At 55.1% G+C, this 17,375-nt stretch overlaps 1 protein-coding gene across 14 annotated transcripts in view; it reads left to right on the top strand.

The window, feature by feature from the left end:
• Positions 1-17,197, top strand: part of ZC3H4 (zinc finger CCCH-type containing 4) — a 49,590-nt gene extending 32,393 nt beyond the window's left edge. For 10 of the 14 annotated variants that reach the window (NM_015168.2, XM_047438517.1, XM_006723113.4 and 7 more), the window contains 4 exons: positions 8,671-9,032; positions 9,263-9,606; positions 12,041-12,292; positions 13,515-17,197. In NM_015168.2, coding sequence (NP_055983.1) covers positions 8,671-9,032; positions 9,263-9,606; positions 12,041-12,292; positions 13,515-15,028 — 2,472 coding nt within the window. In that variant the 3' untranslated portion in view covers positions 15,029-17,197. The remainder of the gene's footprint in view (positions 1-8,670; positions 9,033-9,262; positions 9,607-12,040; positions 12,293-13,514) is intronic. The other 4 variants (XM_017026530.3, XM_047438516.1, XM_047438515.1 and 1 more) reach the window with 1 other exon arrangement.

The raw sequence follows: 17,375 nt of genomic DNA, 5'->3' as shown, positions 1-17,375 counted from the left end.
CTAAGGAGGACACGGGCACTGTGTCCTCTTCTGCAAGGAGTTGAGGTGGTCACATGTGTTGTCTTAGGCCAGGACAAGCTTTTGCTGTTTCCCCTGGGGCATGACCAAATGAAAGGAATGCTGCCTGATGGGCCTCCAAGCATGAATCGTGATCTCTTAGGTGTCATTTAGAGAGAGCTCACAATACACAAAGATACACGAATCACCTGTAACCCCAGCACTTTGGGAGGCCGAGGCAGGAGGATCAGTTGAGCTCAGGAGTTCAAGACCAGCCTAGGCATGTAGCAAGACGTTGTTTCTACTAAAAATAAATTAAAAAAAATTGGCTGGGCTGGGTGCAGTGGTTTATGCCTGTAATCCCAGCACTTTGGGAGGCCAAGGCAGGCAGATCAGTTGTACTTAGGGCAACATGGCAAAACCCCGTCTCTTAAAAAAAAAATACAAAAAACTTAACCGAGTGTGGTGGCTCACGCTTGTAATCTCAGCACTGTGGGAGTCTGAGGCGGGCAGATCACCTGAGGCCAGGTTCTCAAGACCTGCCTGGCCAACATGGCAAAACCTCATTGCTACTAAAAATATAAAAATTAGCTAGTTGTGGTGGCACATGCGTGTAGTCCCAGCTACTTAGGAGGCAGAGGTTGCAGTGAGCTGAGATCACACCACTGCATTCCATCCAGCCTGTGCAACAGAGTGAGACTGTGTCTCAAAAAAAAAAAAAAAATTAGCCAGGTATTGTGGCACATGCCTATGGTCCCAGCTACTCGAGAGGCTGAGGTGGGAGGATCTGTTGAGTCCAGGAGATTGAGGCTGCAGTGAGCCATGATCATGCCACTGCACTCCAGCCTGGGTAACAGAGCAAGACGCCATCTCCAAGAAAGACCACAAAAAACCAAAGATACACAAAGACGAGGCAAGGATTGTATTTTGGTGGAAAAGTCAAACGTTTCTTTGCAACTCTCAGGGCCCCCATTATGCATTAGAGAAAATAGAGGGAAGTTGGGGGTCTCTAAAGGGGAAGGCTCCCTTGGGGGAGGTGTCAGGGCTTCCCCACTAGCCAGGTGACATTTGAAACTCATCCTGGCATCAGTTGTCCTCCCTGAGGAGTCAGGCTGAGGACCTTGGGTTAGGGTTAAATACCCAAACATCAGTCCTGAGTTTCCTGATTCATCTGGGGAGTGAGTGGGTACGGGAACTGGTGCCCTTTCAAATGAAGCTTTCCTGCCTTCTAGTTCACAAGGAGGTTCTAGGAGATTGGCTATTTTTTTTGACAGTGGAAAGGATCAAGGCATCAGCACATCTGCCGGCTTCCAGAGTCCATCTGTCAGTGACTGTCTTGTTAACTGGTGGCAGGGGCACCCCTGTGAGGGGTGCAGGGGAAGCCCCATGCAAGCAGACGTAGGAGAATGTCCATTCCTCGTTGGCAGGGCGCCTGTAGGAAAAGGCAAGTCCCTCCGGGGAGCCTGCTGCCCTAGGGTTTTTTTGTTTTGTTTGTTTTTTGATACAGAGTCTCACTCTGTCACCCAGGCTGGAGTGCAGTGGCACAATCTCGGCTCCCTGCAACCTCTACCTCCTGGGTTCAAGCGTTTGTCCTGCCTCAGCCTCCCGAGTAGCTGGGACTACAGGCGCATGCCGCTGCGCCCAGCTATTTTCAGTAGAGACGGGGTTTCACCATGTTGGCCAGGTTGGTCTCGAACTACTGACCTTGTGATCCGCCCACCTTGGCCTCCCAAATCGCTGGGATTACAAGTGTGAGCCACAGCGCCTGGCATGCCCCAGGGTTATGTAATCAGTACATACCTAGGGTCTGAGCTGTTTGACAGGGGAAGCAGTGGCCAGTCAGGCCTCACGGCTCCTTGGGAGGACTCACTGATCTCTGACTGAGGACTGCCCCCTGCTGGAGGCTCCAGGTTTGTGCTTCAGGCCAGTGCTGCCCACAGGAGCACCACAGAATCACATCATTCATTTAAAATTTTCCAGTAGCCACATTAAAAAAAAAAAAAAAAGTAAAAAGAAACAGGTGAAATTACTTTTTTTTTCTTTTTTGAAGTGGCGTCTGGCCAGGCGCAGTGGCTCACTCCTGTAACCCCCCCACTGTGGGATGCCGAGGCAGACGGATCACCTGAGGTTGGGAATTCAAGACCAGCCTGACCAACATGGAGAAACCCCATCTCTACTAAAAATACAGAATTAGCCAGGCAAGGTGGTGCATACCTGTAATCCCAGCTACTCGAGAGGCTGAGGCAGGAGAATCGCTTGAACCCGGGAGGCGGTGGTTGCGGTGAGCTGAGATCGTGCCATTGCACTCCAGCCTGGGCAACAAGAGCGAGACTCTGTCTCAAAAAAAAAAAAATGGAAATGAAATGGAGTCTTGCTTTGTTGTCCAGGCTGGAGTGCAATGGCGCGATCTCTGCTCACCGCAACCTTCGCCTTCTGGGTTCAAGCGATTCTCCTGCCTCAGCCTCCACAGTAGCTGGGATTACAGGCGCCCACCACCACACCCGGCTAATTTTTGTTTGTTTGTTTTTGAGACGGAGTTTCACTCTTTCGCCCAGGCTGAAGTGCAATGGCACCATCTCGGCTCACTGCAACCTCTGCCTTCCAGGTTCAAGTGATTTCCTGTTTCAGCCTCCTGAGTAGCTGGGATTACAGGTGCCAGCCACCATGCCCAGCTGAGTTTTGTATTTTTAGTAGAGACAGGGTTTCACCCTGTTGGCCAGGCTGGTCTCAAATTCGTGATTAGTTTTGTATTCTTAGTAGAGACAGGGTTTCACCATGTTGGCCAGGCTGGTCTCGAATTCCTGATCCACCCACCTCGACAGGTGATCCACCCGCCCCGGCCTCCCAAAGTGCTGGGGTTACAGGTGTGCACCAATGCGCCTGGCTAATTTTTTGTTTTTTTTGAAACGGAGTCTCGCTCTGTTGCCAGGCTGGAGTGCAGTGGGCGTGGTCTCGGCTCACTGCAACCTCCGCCTCCTGGGTTCAAGCGATTCTCCTGCCTTGGCCTCCCAAAGTGCCGGGATTACAGGTGTGAGCCACCATGCCCGTCCGTGCCTGGCTAATTTTTGTATTTTTAGTAGAGATGAGGTTTTATCATGTTGGCCAGGCTGGTTTCAAACTCCTGACCTGAAATAAGCCACCTACCTCGTGAAATTAATTTTAACAATATATCTCATTTATCGCCAAACATAATTTTAGGAAATAATAAAAAATAATGAAAAAAATAGAGATAGTTTAGGGGGGCTTTTTGTATGTAGTTTCAACGGCTGGAAAAAAAATTTTTTAAGTGGCATTGGGATTATATTTGATCTCCCTTGGCTTCATGGAAGTGGGCACCTGTGAAGCCAACAGAGATTAAGTATAATGGTACTTGAGTCCGTTAAAAGTAAATTCTGTAGAGAGCAATATTTTCTGAAAGCAAAACTTGATGTTTGCAAAACTTAGAGGGTTGTAGATTTCTGCTTTGGAGTATGCACACAGACCTTTTTCCTGAAAATCCATACCTTCTTTTTTTTTTTTTTTTTTGTTTGAGACGGAGTTTTGCTCTTGTTGCCCAGGCTGGAGCACAGTGGCGCGATCTTGGCTCACCACGACCTCCGCCTCCCAGGTTCAAGCGATTCTCCTGCCTCAGCCTCCTGAGTAGCTGAGATTACAGGCATGTGCCATCACGCCCGGCTCATTTTTTGTGTTTTTAGTAGGGACGGGGTTTCTCCACGTTTGTCAGGCTGGTCTCGAACTCCCAACCTCAGGTGATCCACGCCCGCCTTGGCCTCCCACAGTGCTGGGATAACGGGCGTGAGCCACCATGCCTAGCTGAGAATCCATACCTTCTAAATTTATCTGAGTGCTTTAAGCAGTTCTTAGCATTTTATCTATGTTTTTGTGTGTCCTCTTTGGTACCAGTTTTTTTTTTTTTTTAAGACGGAGTTTCACTCTTGTTGCCAAGGCTGGAGTGCAATGATGCGATCTCGGCTCACTGCAACCTCCGCCTCCTGGGTTCAAGTGATTCTCCTGTCTCAGCCTCCTGAATAGATGGGATTACAGGTGCCTGACACACGCCTGGCTAATTTTTGTATTTTTAGTAGAGACAGGGTTTCACCATGTTAGCCAGGCTGGTCTCGAACACCTGACCTCAGGTGATCCACCCGCAGGCCTCCCAAAGTGCTGGGATTACAGGCATGAACCACCGCACCTGATATATAGTTCTGTGAGTTGTTTTTTTTTTCCAAGACGGAATCTCGCTCTGTCGTCCAGGCTGGAGTGCAGTAGTGCAGTGTTGGCTCACTGCAACCTCCGCCTCCCAGGTTCAAGCAGTTCTCTGCCTCTTGAGTAGCTGGGATTACAGAGGCCCGCCACCACATCCAGCTAATGTTTTTTTGAAAAAATTTTTTTTTGAGACGGAGTCTTGCTCTGTCACCCAGGCTGGAGTGCAGTGGTGCAACCTTGGCTCACTGTAGTTTCCGCCTCCCAGGTTCAAGCGATTCTCCTGCCTCAGCCTCCTGAGTAGCTGGGATTACAGGTGTGTGCCACCACGCCCGGCTAATTTTTATATATTTAGTAGAGACAGGGTTTCACCATGTTGATCAGGCTGGTCTCGAACTCCTGACCTCGTGATCTGCTCGGCTCTGCCTTCCAAAGTGCTGGGATTACAGGTGTGAGCCACTGCGCCCGGCCAGCTAATATTTTTGTATTTTTAGTAGAGATAAGGTTTCACCATCTTGGTCAGGCTGGTCTTGAACTCCTGACCTCGTAATCCACCTACCTCGTCCTCCCAAAGTGCTGGGATTACAGGCGTGAGCCACTGCGCTTGGCCTGGTTCTATGAGTTTTGACAAACACATTGAGTCATGTCACCACCCCACAAGATGGATCTAGGAAACCCATTCCATCACCCCAGAAACTCTGCTGTGTCCTTTATAGTAAATGCCACCCCACATCTCCAGTGCCTGGCAACCGTGGATCAGGGTCTGTCTTTTGGTTTTGCTTTTTCAAGCAAATCATATAAATAGAATTATGGGGTAAACAGGCTTTAAGAGTGTGAGTGTGTGTGTGTGTGTGTGTGCGCGCGCGCGCACGCGTGCATGTGTTGAGTCTGGCTTCTTGCACTTGGCATGAAGCCTTTGAGGTTCACCCGTTGTTGCAAGTAACAGTTCATTACCATTTGTTGCTGTGTAGTGTCCCACTGAGCGGATGATCTGTGTTTGTTTATCCAGTCATCCGTTGAAGGACATTTGAGTTGTTTCCAGTTCGAGGCAACAGCGTTGGTGACCAGTGGCCTGGAGCTTATTCACATGGCCTAATGGGGCTCAGCCCACATGCCTCTGCACCTCTACAAGTGTTACTTATTGCTTGCAGAAGGTGACTGACTGTTGGAAACTGTGATCACTGATAGTCTGTCCTGGCTAGAGAGGTTTTGGCACCTAGCGGGGTGCTAGTTGTCTCAGCTGGTGTCTTTGCTGGTGGAGGGGCCAGGGACAGAGGTGCCCTCCACAGGGTCTGTGCTGGCAGGACCGATGGGCAGTTTGGGTTGACTCCGCAGTTGACTCCATGGTGGAGTCAACCATTCAGGGCCTGAGCTCCTTTCTCCTCTGCACTGGACCCAGCCTCTGGATTCCAGGGAATGCATTGGTTTGTGTTCCTTGCTTAGTCGTTCACTCAATAAATCTCTGTGCCTTGTTTGTGCCAGGCACTGGGGGTGCTGAGGAGGCAGGGTTAGGTCCTTGGGCGGATGCTGATGACACATGGGGAGTGTGAGTGTGTGTGTGTATGTGTGTGTGCGCACACACACGTGGGGATCAGGCCGTGAAGAATAAGTGTGGGAGCCCAGGACTCTAGCTGGGCTCTATTCAGGAGGCAGACATTCAAGAGGCTTTGTGAGGAGGTGACACTGGCGGCCCCAGGATGTGCGGCAGTGGGGACTGAAGAGGAGGAGGAGGAGGGAGATGCAGGGTGGCAGCTGCAGCGCAAGCCATGGCCCCACACACAGTTGAGGAAGGGCCCTTGGGCCAGGAGGAAGTGAGCCCGTGGCAGTGTTGAAAGCAGCTGGCGCAAGGCTCTGGGCCCTCCCAGCAAGGCTCATCTCAGGTGGTGGTGCCCACGCTCAAAGGGCAGAATGCGGGTTCTGCCTCCACGGGTCCCCCTGTGCTGCTGGTTCACACGCTGACCACCCCTGGAATATCAGGGTTCAGAAGGACAGAGGGGTTCCACCGCGTCGTTTTCCACACCTCCTCCATGAAGCCACATTCTTATTGGACCCTGGGGTTCCAGGGTCCAGATACCATTGCTAATGGCTAGGAGAAGGGAAAACTGCGAATGCACAACCCCCACCAGGGGGTCCTGTTTCTGTCCGCCTTGCTGTTCCTGGGCAGAGGGGCAGGACTAGTTTATCTTGATGACCCTGTGTTAGGACCAACTAAGGGATCTGTGCTGGGGTCCCCAAGATGACCCAGAGCAACTTGCTGGGGGACTCACGGCCAAGATGTTAACTGCGGTGAAGGGACACAGGCAAACTCAGCCCTGGGAATGAGTACATGAGGGCGCCTGGAGGAAGCAGGCGCATCCTCTTCCTGTGGACTCGCAGGGGCCACGCTGCCCTCCTCCAGTTGTGACAGCACGAGTGGCATGCTGTCTGCGAGGAGACTTGCTCAGCGCCCAGGGTTTTCACTAGGCTGCTCACCTAGGCAGCCTCTGCCCAGCATGGACCAAAATTCCAGATTTGGGGGGCAAAGCAGGCATTCAGCACAAACTGCATTGGTTGCAGAAACAGTTTAGATGCAGTGAGCCCCTCTTACTGGACAGTGAATGCTGGGAGCCCTCCCAAAATGCAGCTTCCCAGACACCAGCCGAGGCCTAGCCTTGCAAGCAGGCCTTCCAAGGAGAGCAGCCAGGCCTCCTGTGTCACTTTTCTGCACGCTATCCTAACTGATGAGACATTCTAGTCCAGTTGAGATTTTGACATTTCTCATTCACTCACTGGGCGTCTGCCCTGTATCAGGTCTCGTGGGGGCCCTGGGGATATAGCAGGGAAGAAACAGTCCTGCCCTCTTGGAGTTGATGGGGAGGTTGAGCCAGGATGAACATGGGAATGACTGAATAATCCGACAAGGCATAGGCAGTGTTGGCAGAGAACTCCTGGTGACCCAGTAGTGAATACAGGAGACTGGACAGACACTATGAATTGACATCTAATGAGGGACCTCAACAGTTGAGTGACGTTGAGCCACATGGGAATAACAGGAAAAATAAAAACCTGGGGGAAGCTGGTCCTGGCCCTGTAGGGGAGAGCTTGGCTGCTCATTGCACTGAAACGAGGCTGGGTGGTTGGGGTGGAGGAGTCGGGATCGTGGGAGGAAATGAAGCTGCCAGGAAGCTACCCAGTCGTCCCCAGATACCTAGACACCCAGACACCCACCCCTGCTCTTAGGCCCTAAGGGTCATGGTCAGGAGTTGAGATCAGAGGCCCTTAAAATCCAAACATGACAGGGGAATATGATTCAGCCATAAAAAACAGAGTGACATACTGATAGATGTAGCAGTGTTGTAGATAGATGCACTTTGCTAAGTGAAAGCGCCCATCGCACACAGCGCATGAGTCTGTTCGCAGGAGCTGTCCAGCAGGGGCAGGTCCGCAGAGACGGAAAGCAGAGTGGCTGCCGGGGGCTGGGGGTAGAGGGTGGGGAGCGATTGCTTAGTGTGTACAGGGTCTCTTTTGGGGGTGATGAAAATGTGCTGGAACTATATAGAGGTGGCGGTTACATAACATTGTTAATGTGCCAAATGCCACTGCATCGTTCACTTTGTTTTGTTTTTGTTTTTTGAGATGGAGTCTGGCTCTGTCGCTCAGGCTGGAGTGCAGTAGTGTGATCTCGGCTCACTGGAACCTCCGCCTCCCAGGTTCAAGCGATTCTTCTGCCTCAGCCTCCTGAGTAGCTGGGATTACAGGTGCCCACCACCATGCCCGGCTATTTTTTTTGTATTTTTAGTAGAGATGGGGTTTCACCATGTTGGCCAGGCTGGCCTCAAACTCCTGACCTCAGGTGATCTGCCCACCTCAGCCTGCCAAAGTGCTGGGATTACAAGCATGAGCCACCACGTCTGGCATTATTTATTTATTTTTGAGACAGAGTCTCCTCTGTTGTCCATGCTGGGGTGCAGTGGTGCGATCTTGGCTCACTGCAGCTTCTGCCTCCCATGTTCAAGTGATTCTCCTGCTTCAGCCTCCCGAGTAGCTGAGACTACAGGCGTGCACTACCATGCCTGGCTAATTTTTGTATTTTTAGTAGAGATGGGGTTTTGCCATGTTGGCCAGACTGGTCTTGAACTCCTGGCCTCAAGTGATCCACCCACCTCGGCCTCCCAAAGTGCTGGGATTACAGATGTGAGTCCCTGCGCCCAGCTGAATCGTTCACTTTAAATGGTTAAACAGTATGCTTTGTTATGTGTATTTTGCCATAGAGCAGGAATGGCCCCCCCTCTACCAGCTGGTCCCCGAGAGTGGAGCAGAGAGGTGGCTGATGATGATTTTTGTTACAGAGCCATTGTGGTCTTTATGCCTTTAGATCTCAAGGTCCTTGTATTATGGACTTTTCCTCATAAACTTCAGCTCTCAGACCTGGAGAGGTCCGTTTCCATCCTGACCCCGTCCACACCTTCTTTTGTTCTTTCACACCCGCAGATGTTGGCCGATGATGCAGAAGCAGGTGCCGAGGATGAGAAGGAGGTGGAGGAACTGAAGAAGCAGGGCATCAACCCCCTGCCCAAACCGCCCCCTGGTGTGGGCCTCCTGCCCACCCCTCCTCGGCCCCCTGGCCCGCAGGCTCCAACCTCTCCCAACGGCAGGCCCATGCAGGGTGGCCCCCCGCCCCCGCCCCCTCCCCCTCCCCCACCGCCCGGGCCCCCTCAGATGCCCATGCCGGTGCATGAGCCACTGTCCCCGCAGCAGCTGCAGCAGCAGGACATGTACAACAAGAAGATCCCCTCCTTGTTTGAGATCGTGGTGCGGCCCACGGGACAGCTGGCTGAGAAGCTGGGTGTGAGGTGAGTGCCCTGGACCCCCGTGACAGGCAGTGGGCGCTGTCCTGGGCCCAGCCAGGCTCCTCTTGTTAGGGCAAGCCTGGCTGTGGGAGAGTCCTGCCTCTCTCCCCAGCTGTGGGAGTCCTGGTCTGGGGCCCATGACCTTCGGCTCTGCAGCCCTCCGCCTCTCCTCTGGGGTGTGGCCACTGCCCTCCTCGGCAGCTTCCGTCACAGGCACCTTTTCCCTCTTCTAGGTTCCCTGGACCCGGTGGACCCCCAGGGCCAATGGGCCCTGGGCCCAACATGGGACCCCCAGGGCCAATGGGCGGTCCAATGCATCCTGACATGCACCCCGACATGCACCCGGACATGCACCCTGACATGCACGCAGACATGCACGCAGACATGCCGATGGGCCCTGGCATGAATCCTGGCCCACCCATGGGCCCTGGCGGCCCTCCAATGATGCCCTACGGCCCTGGAGACTCCCCACATTCTGGAATGATGCCCCCTATCCCGCCAGCCCAGAACTTCTATGAAAACTTCTACCAGCAGCAGGAGGGCATGGAGATGGAGCCCGGACTCCTGGGGGATGCAGGTATGCGGGACTCCAGGTGTGGCTGCCTGGGGCTGCAGGCTTTACCCAGTGGAGCAGAGTTGGGGAGATGTGATTTTTCTTCCTTCGTCCAAGTCTCTTTGAAAGCATGACTCCATCTCTGTCCCATTTAATGGTTGAATGTTTTCAGTGACATAGGATGTATTCTGTTGAAGAAGAAAGGAGTATTCTGTGTATTACCAATATAGGTTATTTCTTTTTAATTTTGCAAGCTGTGCCTGGAATCGGAAGCATGGGAAGTTAGAGGGACGAGTGTGCAAGGGTGTGAGGCTGAGAGGCTGGTGGGCCCATCAGGACTCAGTTAGTGGCCTGGCCAAAACCATCTCTTTCCGGGCAGTTCTCGGCTTGGAGCAACCAGTGTCCACCCCAGGACTCTGCGGGTTCTGTGCCCATTACCGGCCGTTTTCCTGCCTTTTTTTCCTTTTGCATTGGTAACAAATGTCCAGTGAGCAGAGGGGTTTAGATGACGCTGCTGCAGCCATAGGAGATGTGGTGTGCAGCCCTCTGGAGGAGGGCCAGGCACGAGAGGCCACCACTGTCCTCGCTCAGTTGCATCTTGGTGGAAACAAGCAGGTGGCAAGCGTGTAGATAGAGGAGTTGGCTCCTTTCAGCATTGGCCATTCTTAGAAGAAAAGGTGGGGAACCGTGGCGGTGGGCCAGAAGGCTCAGTGCCTCAGTGGGGATAGTCACAAAAGTCTCTTTGAGAAGTGAAGCGGCACTCACAACGTGAGGAATGATGGGACCTCCGAGGGCAGCGGGTGGGGGCGCTGTGTTGAACTGGGGGAGCTGCTGTGGCAGCTGCTGGGGGCTGTCCCTGGGCAGAGGCAGCAGGGCGGCCACTGGAGTGCAAGGCAGGGCTTCGAGGTTTGGACACGGTGCCGTGGGGCAGTGGGAGCCCCGTGTTTGTTTTGCAAGGTGGGCAGGAGCGGCATTGAGGATGGGGCGCTGGACGTGCGGCATAGTCACTCTAGGGTGCCTGCCCCTCCGACGGCCATGTGGAAATTTTGAGGGGGTGGTTTAAGGGGCATTGGGAGAGGCCCAGGCTAGAGATCAAAATGTGAACGTGGGCTTTGGCTTTAGGTGGTGCATGGACCTGGGAGAGCAGGTACTTGGGTGAGAGTGGGTGCTTTAGAAAGAAAGACGAGAAAAACAGGCTGCCACAGTAGGTGCTGGGGTTCTCAGCTCCTCCCCCTTCAACAAATGCGTCTAAAAGGTGCACGGGAAAAGCTCTGCTGGCGGGGCACCAGAAGTCCGTCACGTTGGTAGCAGTAGGTGTCTCTAGAATAATCCCATTTCATAAAATCCTCCCTCTAACATGTATGGTCATTGGTTTCTGGTGTGTGCACAGACTGTGTGTGAAGGGGGACCCTCGGCTGTCTGGTTCATGGAGTGGGTCCCAGCTCTGCGCTGGGATGTGTCATAGAGCAGGCTGGCCCATCAGGTTCACTTGACGAAGTTGAAATTAATGTAAGCTAAGTTACAAGTGCACTTTTCTAGACACCACGTTTTAAATGCTCAGCTGCCCCAGGAGGATCTAGGCGGCCACATGTTGCCCTGCAGATCTAGAACATTTCCATCACTGCAGAGCGTTCTGTGGGGCAGCACTGACTCCAGACGCCCCCCCCTCCGTTTCGGTGATTCGATGTCTCCCATGCTCACATGTGTCACACACGCAACATGCAGGAGGCGTCGCCGAGCCTGCCCTCCCCTCTACGCCTGCTGCGTCCCCACGTCAGCCTGTGCTGCTGCCCACAGCTCTTGGCTCAGGCACTGGGGGAGTGTGTGGGGTGAGGTGGCTGGTGCCAGTGCCCACGCTGCAGGAGGTGGAGGCCCCGTGCTTCCTGAGACACCCCCTAATGCTGTGGAGTGGGCAGGGAGGCACTCTGGAACTGCTGTTGACCTGTGGCCAGAGCAGCACTTGACCCGTTTCATTCTCTTTTCCTGGCTTTTAGTGTTGAACATGGTCGAGTTCACTATGAGATGCATGGTGTTTCCTTACTGATTGTTAGAAAGAAACCGTGCAACTCCTATCCATCCAAAATAATTTAAAAGTACAGGAAAGAGTACAGAAATCCCTGGCCTCTCCAGAATCTGTGTTCCAGAGGGACTGTTTCTGTGTGTCTTTTCAAAGCTTTCTCCTTGCGTCTTACAAACGTACATCCAATGTTCCATCCTGTTTCCACCTCATAAGCGTTTGCCCGCATCACTCAACCCTCTCTGTGAACCTCATTCTTCATGTAGGCGGGGCTACCCATGGGCCGCTCTGTTCCCCTGAGACCTGGGGAGGGCAGGCAGGGGCAGGCTGTGCGTCCTTCTCCATCGCCATCGGTGTGGGTTTGCAGTGAGGGGCAGGGGGGCTGGAGTTGGCACCTGGAGGCCCTTCCCGACATGAACCCTCGGTTCTTCCCTGCCACAGAGGACTACGGGCACTACGAAGAGCTGCCAGGGGAGCCTGGGGAGCACCTCTTCCCTGAGCACCCTCTGGAGCCCGACAGCTTCTCTGAGGGAGGGCCCCCAGGCCGGCCGAAGCCAGGCGCCGGTGTCCCTGACTTCCTGCCCTCAGCCCAGAGGGCCCTGTACCTGAGGATCCAGCAGAAGCAGCAGGAGGAGGAGGAGAGAGCGAGGAGGCTGGCTGAGAGCAGCAAGCAGGACCGGGAGAATGAGGAAGGCACGTGTCCGCCCCAGGGGCCGGGGCACAGGCCCCAGGCCGCTGTGCAGGGGAGCGGCGGTGGTGGGGTGTTCCAGGTTGGGTTTCCTGTCAGGAAGGAGCCCATGGCTAGGGAGGACCCCTGTCCAGGGCCATGAAGCCGGGCTGGGGCTGCTGCATGTCCCTGAGAAAACTGGCAGTCAGGGGTGGCTTTCTGTGTTGGGTTCAGGAGAGACCCTGATCCCATGGAGTAGGATGGAGGGCTAGTTCCTGGAGGAGACAGTGGCCAACAGGATTGACCGCCTGTGCCCTGCCAGAGGAGGCTTTAGGGAGACCCTCACAGCCCCTGTTTTCCTACCGTGTTCTCAAGGAGCCAACAAACAAGAGCTAGTCATTGAAATTAACCAGTAATAATCATAGTCACGAGCCACCGAGTCTCAGTTGCTGCATGGTTGACTTAGTGGTGTCCACTTTGGGGTAAAATGACAAGTGGTGTCTAGATCCTGAAGCCAGAGGCCACAGGTGGCCCTGACTGTAGCGCAGGAGCCAGTGGGACAGCAGGAGGAGGGGCCGCTCCCCTGATGGCCCAGGCTGTACTGGCCTAGGTTTTGCTTGAGCCCATGTCTGAGTCTGCCCAGCCGGCCCTGCCTCTTATCAGCTGGTGACTGCGGTTGGTCCACACCAGCCCCTCCCTGGGACATGGGGACATCACGAGCCGGTTTGGGGTCAAGTGTCTCTGAGCCCCAGGCCCAGCCAGAACTGAGTCAATGGTGTCTGCTACCAGGACCTCCAGAAAGAGGTGCCCACAGCTGGACTTGCCACAGTGGGGGCTGAACCAGCCCGGAGGTGGGCGGGAGGAAACAGCAGAGCTCTGGGTTAGGAGTCCTAGCCCGATCCTGGCCCTGACTCCAATGTAACGGCACTGTGCTTCTGTTTTCACATCTGTCAAATGGGCATGATAGTATCACTACCTCCTGGGGTGGTTGTGAGTTATTTAAATAAAACAAACTACTTAGTGCAGTGCCGCCACTGAGGAGAGCTGGGGAGCATGGCATAAACCGAGCGCCTTAGCTCTCTGGGTCTCCTCAGCCGCCCACTGTGGGGAGGGAGCCTTAGAGAGGAGGACCTGAGGTTCTGAGAGGCACAAGCAAAGGAGCTGCTCACGGTGGGCTGCTGTGGGATCCAAGAGGGCGGGTGGTGGATGCGCCCACTCACCCCTCCCTGCTCCTCTGTTCTTTCCCAGGTGACACCGGAAACTGGTACTCAAGTGATGAGGATGAGGGTGGAAGCAGTGTCACCTCCATCCTGAAGACCTTGAGGCAGCAGACGTCCAGCCGACCCCCGGCTTCAGTTGGGGAGCTGAGCAGCAGTGGGCTGGGGGACCCCCGCCTCCAGAAGGGACACCCCACAGGAAGCCGGCTGGCTGACCCTCGCCTCAGCCGGGACCCCAGACTCACCCGCCATGTGGAGGCTTCTGGCGGGTCTGGCCCAGGTGATTCGGGACCCTCCGATCCTCGGCTGGCTCGCGCCCTGCCCACCTCCAAGCCCGAAGGCAGCCTTCATTCCAGCCCTGTGGGCCCCAGCAGTTCCAAGGGGTCTGGGCCGCCCCCAACGGAGGAGGAGGAAGGGGAGCGGGCCCTGCGGGAGAAGGCCGTGAACATTCCCCTGGACCCACTCCCCGGGCACCCTCTGCGGGACCCACGGTCACAGCTGCAGCAGTTCAGCCACATCAAGAAGGACGTGACCCTGAGCAAGCCCAGCTTCGCCCGCACCGTGCTCTGGAATCCCGAGGACCTGATCCCCCTACCCATCCCCAAGCAGGACGCAGTGCCCCCCGTGCCCGCGGCCCTGCAATCCATGCCCACCCTGGACCCCCGGCTGCACCGCGCTGCCACGGCAGGGCCCCCCAACGCCCGGCAGCGCCCGGGCGCCTCCACGGATTCCAGCACACAGGGCGCCAACCTCCCCGACTTTGAACTTCTGTCTCGCATCCTCAAGACAGTCAATGCCACCGGCTCCTCGGCCGCCCCCGGTTCCAGCGACAAACCCAGTGACCCCCGGGTGCGGAAGGCCCCCACCGACCCTCGGCTGCAGAAACCCACAGACTCTACGGCCTCCTCCCGGGCTGCCAAGCCCGGCCCTGCTGAGGCGCCCTCTCCCACCGCCAGCCCGAGTGGGGATGCCTCCCCACCAGCCACCGCTCCCTACGACCCCCGCGTGCTGGCGGCCGGTGGACTGGGCCAGGGCGGAGGGGGCGGGCAGAGCAGTGTGCTGAGCGGTATCAGCCTCTACGACCCGAGGACTCCCAACGCGGGGGGCAAAGCCACAGAGCCGGCTGCTGACACGGGTGCCCAGCCCAAGGGTGCTGAGGGCAATGGCAAGAGCTCGGCCTCCAAGGCTAAGGAGCCCCCGTTCGTCCGCAAGTCTGCCCTGGAACAGCCAGAGACAGGGAAGGCCGGTGCTGATGGGGGCACCCCCACGGACAGATACAACAGCTACAACCGGCCCCGGCCCAAGGCTGCTGCAGCCCCCGCTGCCACCACCGCCACCCCACCCCCCGAGGGTGCCCCACCCCAGCCCGGGGTGCACAACCTGCCCGTGCCCACCCTCTTCGGGACGGTGAAGCAGACACCCAAGACGGGCTCAGGAAGCCCATTTGCTGGGAACAGTCCGGCCCGCGAGGGTGAGCAGGATGCGGCATCCCTGAAGGATGTTTTTAAAGGCTTCGACCCCACGGCCTCCCCCTTTTGCCAGTAGTGTCCAGCCAGAGCTGCGGCTCCAGCCACCCTTCCTAGGGTGGCATTCAGGGCAGCACCCAGGGTAGGGAACTTGGGGGCAAGGGGAGGCAGGCTGGGTGTTCCTTTTTTCTTTTCTTTTTCTTTTGCTTTCCGTCTCTTTTATTTTTTTTTAAAGTAGTACTTTCTTTGAGATTTGTAAATTGTATATAACCATCTTAAGTTCTGGTCAGTGTGGCGGGCTCAGGGGCTCCTGCTGAGCAAACCGACTCATGCCCGCAAACCTGTGAACTTTCGCCAGTGCCTGGCCTCAGACTCTGTGGGCTCTGCGTGGCCGGGCCTTGCTGGAGGCCCAGTGGGTTTTCTGGGCAAAGCATGGCCCCTTTTCCCCAGGACAAAGGGAACAGTTGGTGTCTGGGAAGGTATTGAACGCTCCTCACCCTGTGCCCGAAGAGACCCGGAACCAAGACCATGGCAGGGCCTGCGTGGAAGCAGGTCCAGGCGTTTCTAGAACCCTAGGGTGCACCATCACTGTCTTTTCAGTGCAGGCTGTAACAACCCACTCAGGAGACAGTGAGAGTGAAAAGGTATTAAGGAAAAAGCCCCCAGCGGCACTATGGGGGCTCCCTGGCGCATGCCTGCTCCTGTCCCTGGATTACCACACGTGCCCTCCCTGCCACCCTCCGTCTAGAGCAAGCGGATGCCCCCCAGCCTGCAGCAGAAGCCTCCACAGTGAGAACTGGACCCAAAGGTAGTGGGGGCCGGTGTGGGGCAGAGTCCTGAAGAGCCACCTCTAGGAGGCAGCCCCTAGGAGCACGCACGTTCTGTCAGTATTACCCCACCTGTCCTATCAGGTGGGCCACACCCTGCTTGCCCACACCAGGGTCTGTCCTGGTCCTCAAGCCACGCACCCGCTATGCCTGCACTGCAGCCCAGCCCCGGACAGCTCCAGGATCCGTGCAGTGGCTGCGCCGCCAGGCCCCAACAATGGGGACCCTGGGGTGGCTCCTGGCCAAGTGTTCTCTGTTTTCCTCGCACCTCCTTACACTGTGTGACCTGCAGGGCATGAGGTATTGATGTGTTCGGGTTTCCTTTCCCAAGCCAGCAGATGCAGGTGTTCCAAGGTGTGTTGCTCTGTGGGATTTGTGGACACTTAAGAAACGGACTGAGTGGGAACCCTGCAGCCAGGGGATGGGGAGCCTCTGCTCCCCCCATGCTCCCACCCTGGCTGAGGGCCAGCCTCATCTGCAGAGCCCTGGAGGAGGCCCACCTATGGACACAGCCCGAGAGATGGGCGCAAGGGGTGCTGGGGGAGGCCTGCTATCCTGCCTCTGGGCCACTTGAGGGGCCTCAGGAAGTGTGTGCTTGTGGCTGCATCTGCCCGTCTCCCTGGCCCACCATGTGGCTGCAGGCCAAGCTCTTCATTGCTGACCATGAAGAGACCTAGTTACCTGCCAAGGGATTCCCCTTCCCTCCTCCTCAGGGTGGGGTGAACAAGGCTCCTATCCCACCCCACCCCAAAAAGAGAAAAATGAAAAACTCATAGTTTGGAGCCAGGAGGCAGGGTGTCCTACAGGGCTGCACAGCCCTGAGGGGTCAGTGCTGGGATCTGGTTGGTTGGTTTGTCTTTTTGTCTTTTTTTTTTTTTTTTTTTTTACACAATCATTAATGAGATTTGTCTTCAGCCACCAGTGTTGGCCTTGAAGCAGAGGGCACAGCCCTTGGTGTTTGTAAAATAAGTATGAATACACAGTGTGGCAGTGTTGTGGTTTTTGTTGTTGTTTTTCCTCTCCTTTTGAGAATTTTCTTTTGTAAAAGAAAAATATTTTTTAAACCGAAATCTGTGGATGAAATAGAAGCTGGAGCCCTCCTCTTGGAATATTCAGCCTAAGAACCTCATAGGACTATGAATTCACCCGAAATTCTCATTTGCCATCAGGCCGAGCTTTTAAAGAAAAATTGTTCTCTAACCAGGATTGTAACAAAAGTGTAAATACTGTTTCAGAGTTGAGAGTTGGTGGTGCAAATATGTATATAATGAACTGTATTTTTACAATGATCGCCGCATGACTATTTCACACCCTTTTTATACTCCATATCTGTCTTCCAGAAACGTCACCTGCCTTTCTCCTGTGGTCTCTTAATCCAGTAATTGTATTACTGCCATTAAAGGATGCAGTTATTTTAAAAAGCTTGTGGGTCTGGTCTCTCCAGGCTGCCCCAGACCATCCCTTGCCCTGGGAATTAACGAGGGTGGAAGGTGGCTGGGGGGTGAAACAAGGACCTATTCTCTCAGCGGTCGGCCTCAGGGTAACATGAGGACACTGAGGGACAATTTGTGCCTCCAAACAGTGTCAGCTGTCCTCAGT

Source organism: Homo sapiens, chromosome 19 (assembly GCF_000001405.40).
Source record: "Homo sapiens chromosome 19, GRCh38.p14 Primary Assembly".
NCBI classification, from domain to species: Eukaryota; Metazoa; Chordata; class Mammalia; order Primates; family Hominidae; genus Homo; species Homo sapiens.
The sequence above is the reverse complement of the archived record's forward strand: the minus strand, read 5'-3'. Positions and strand labels throughout refer to the sequence as shown.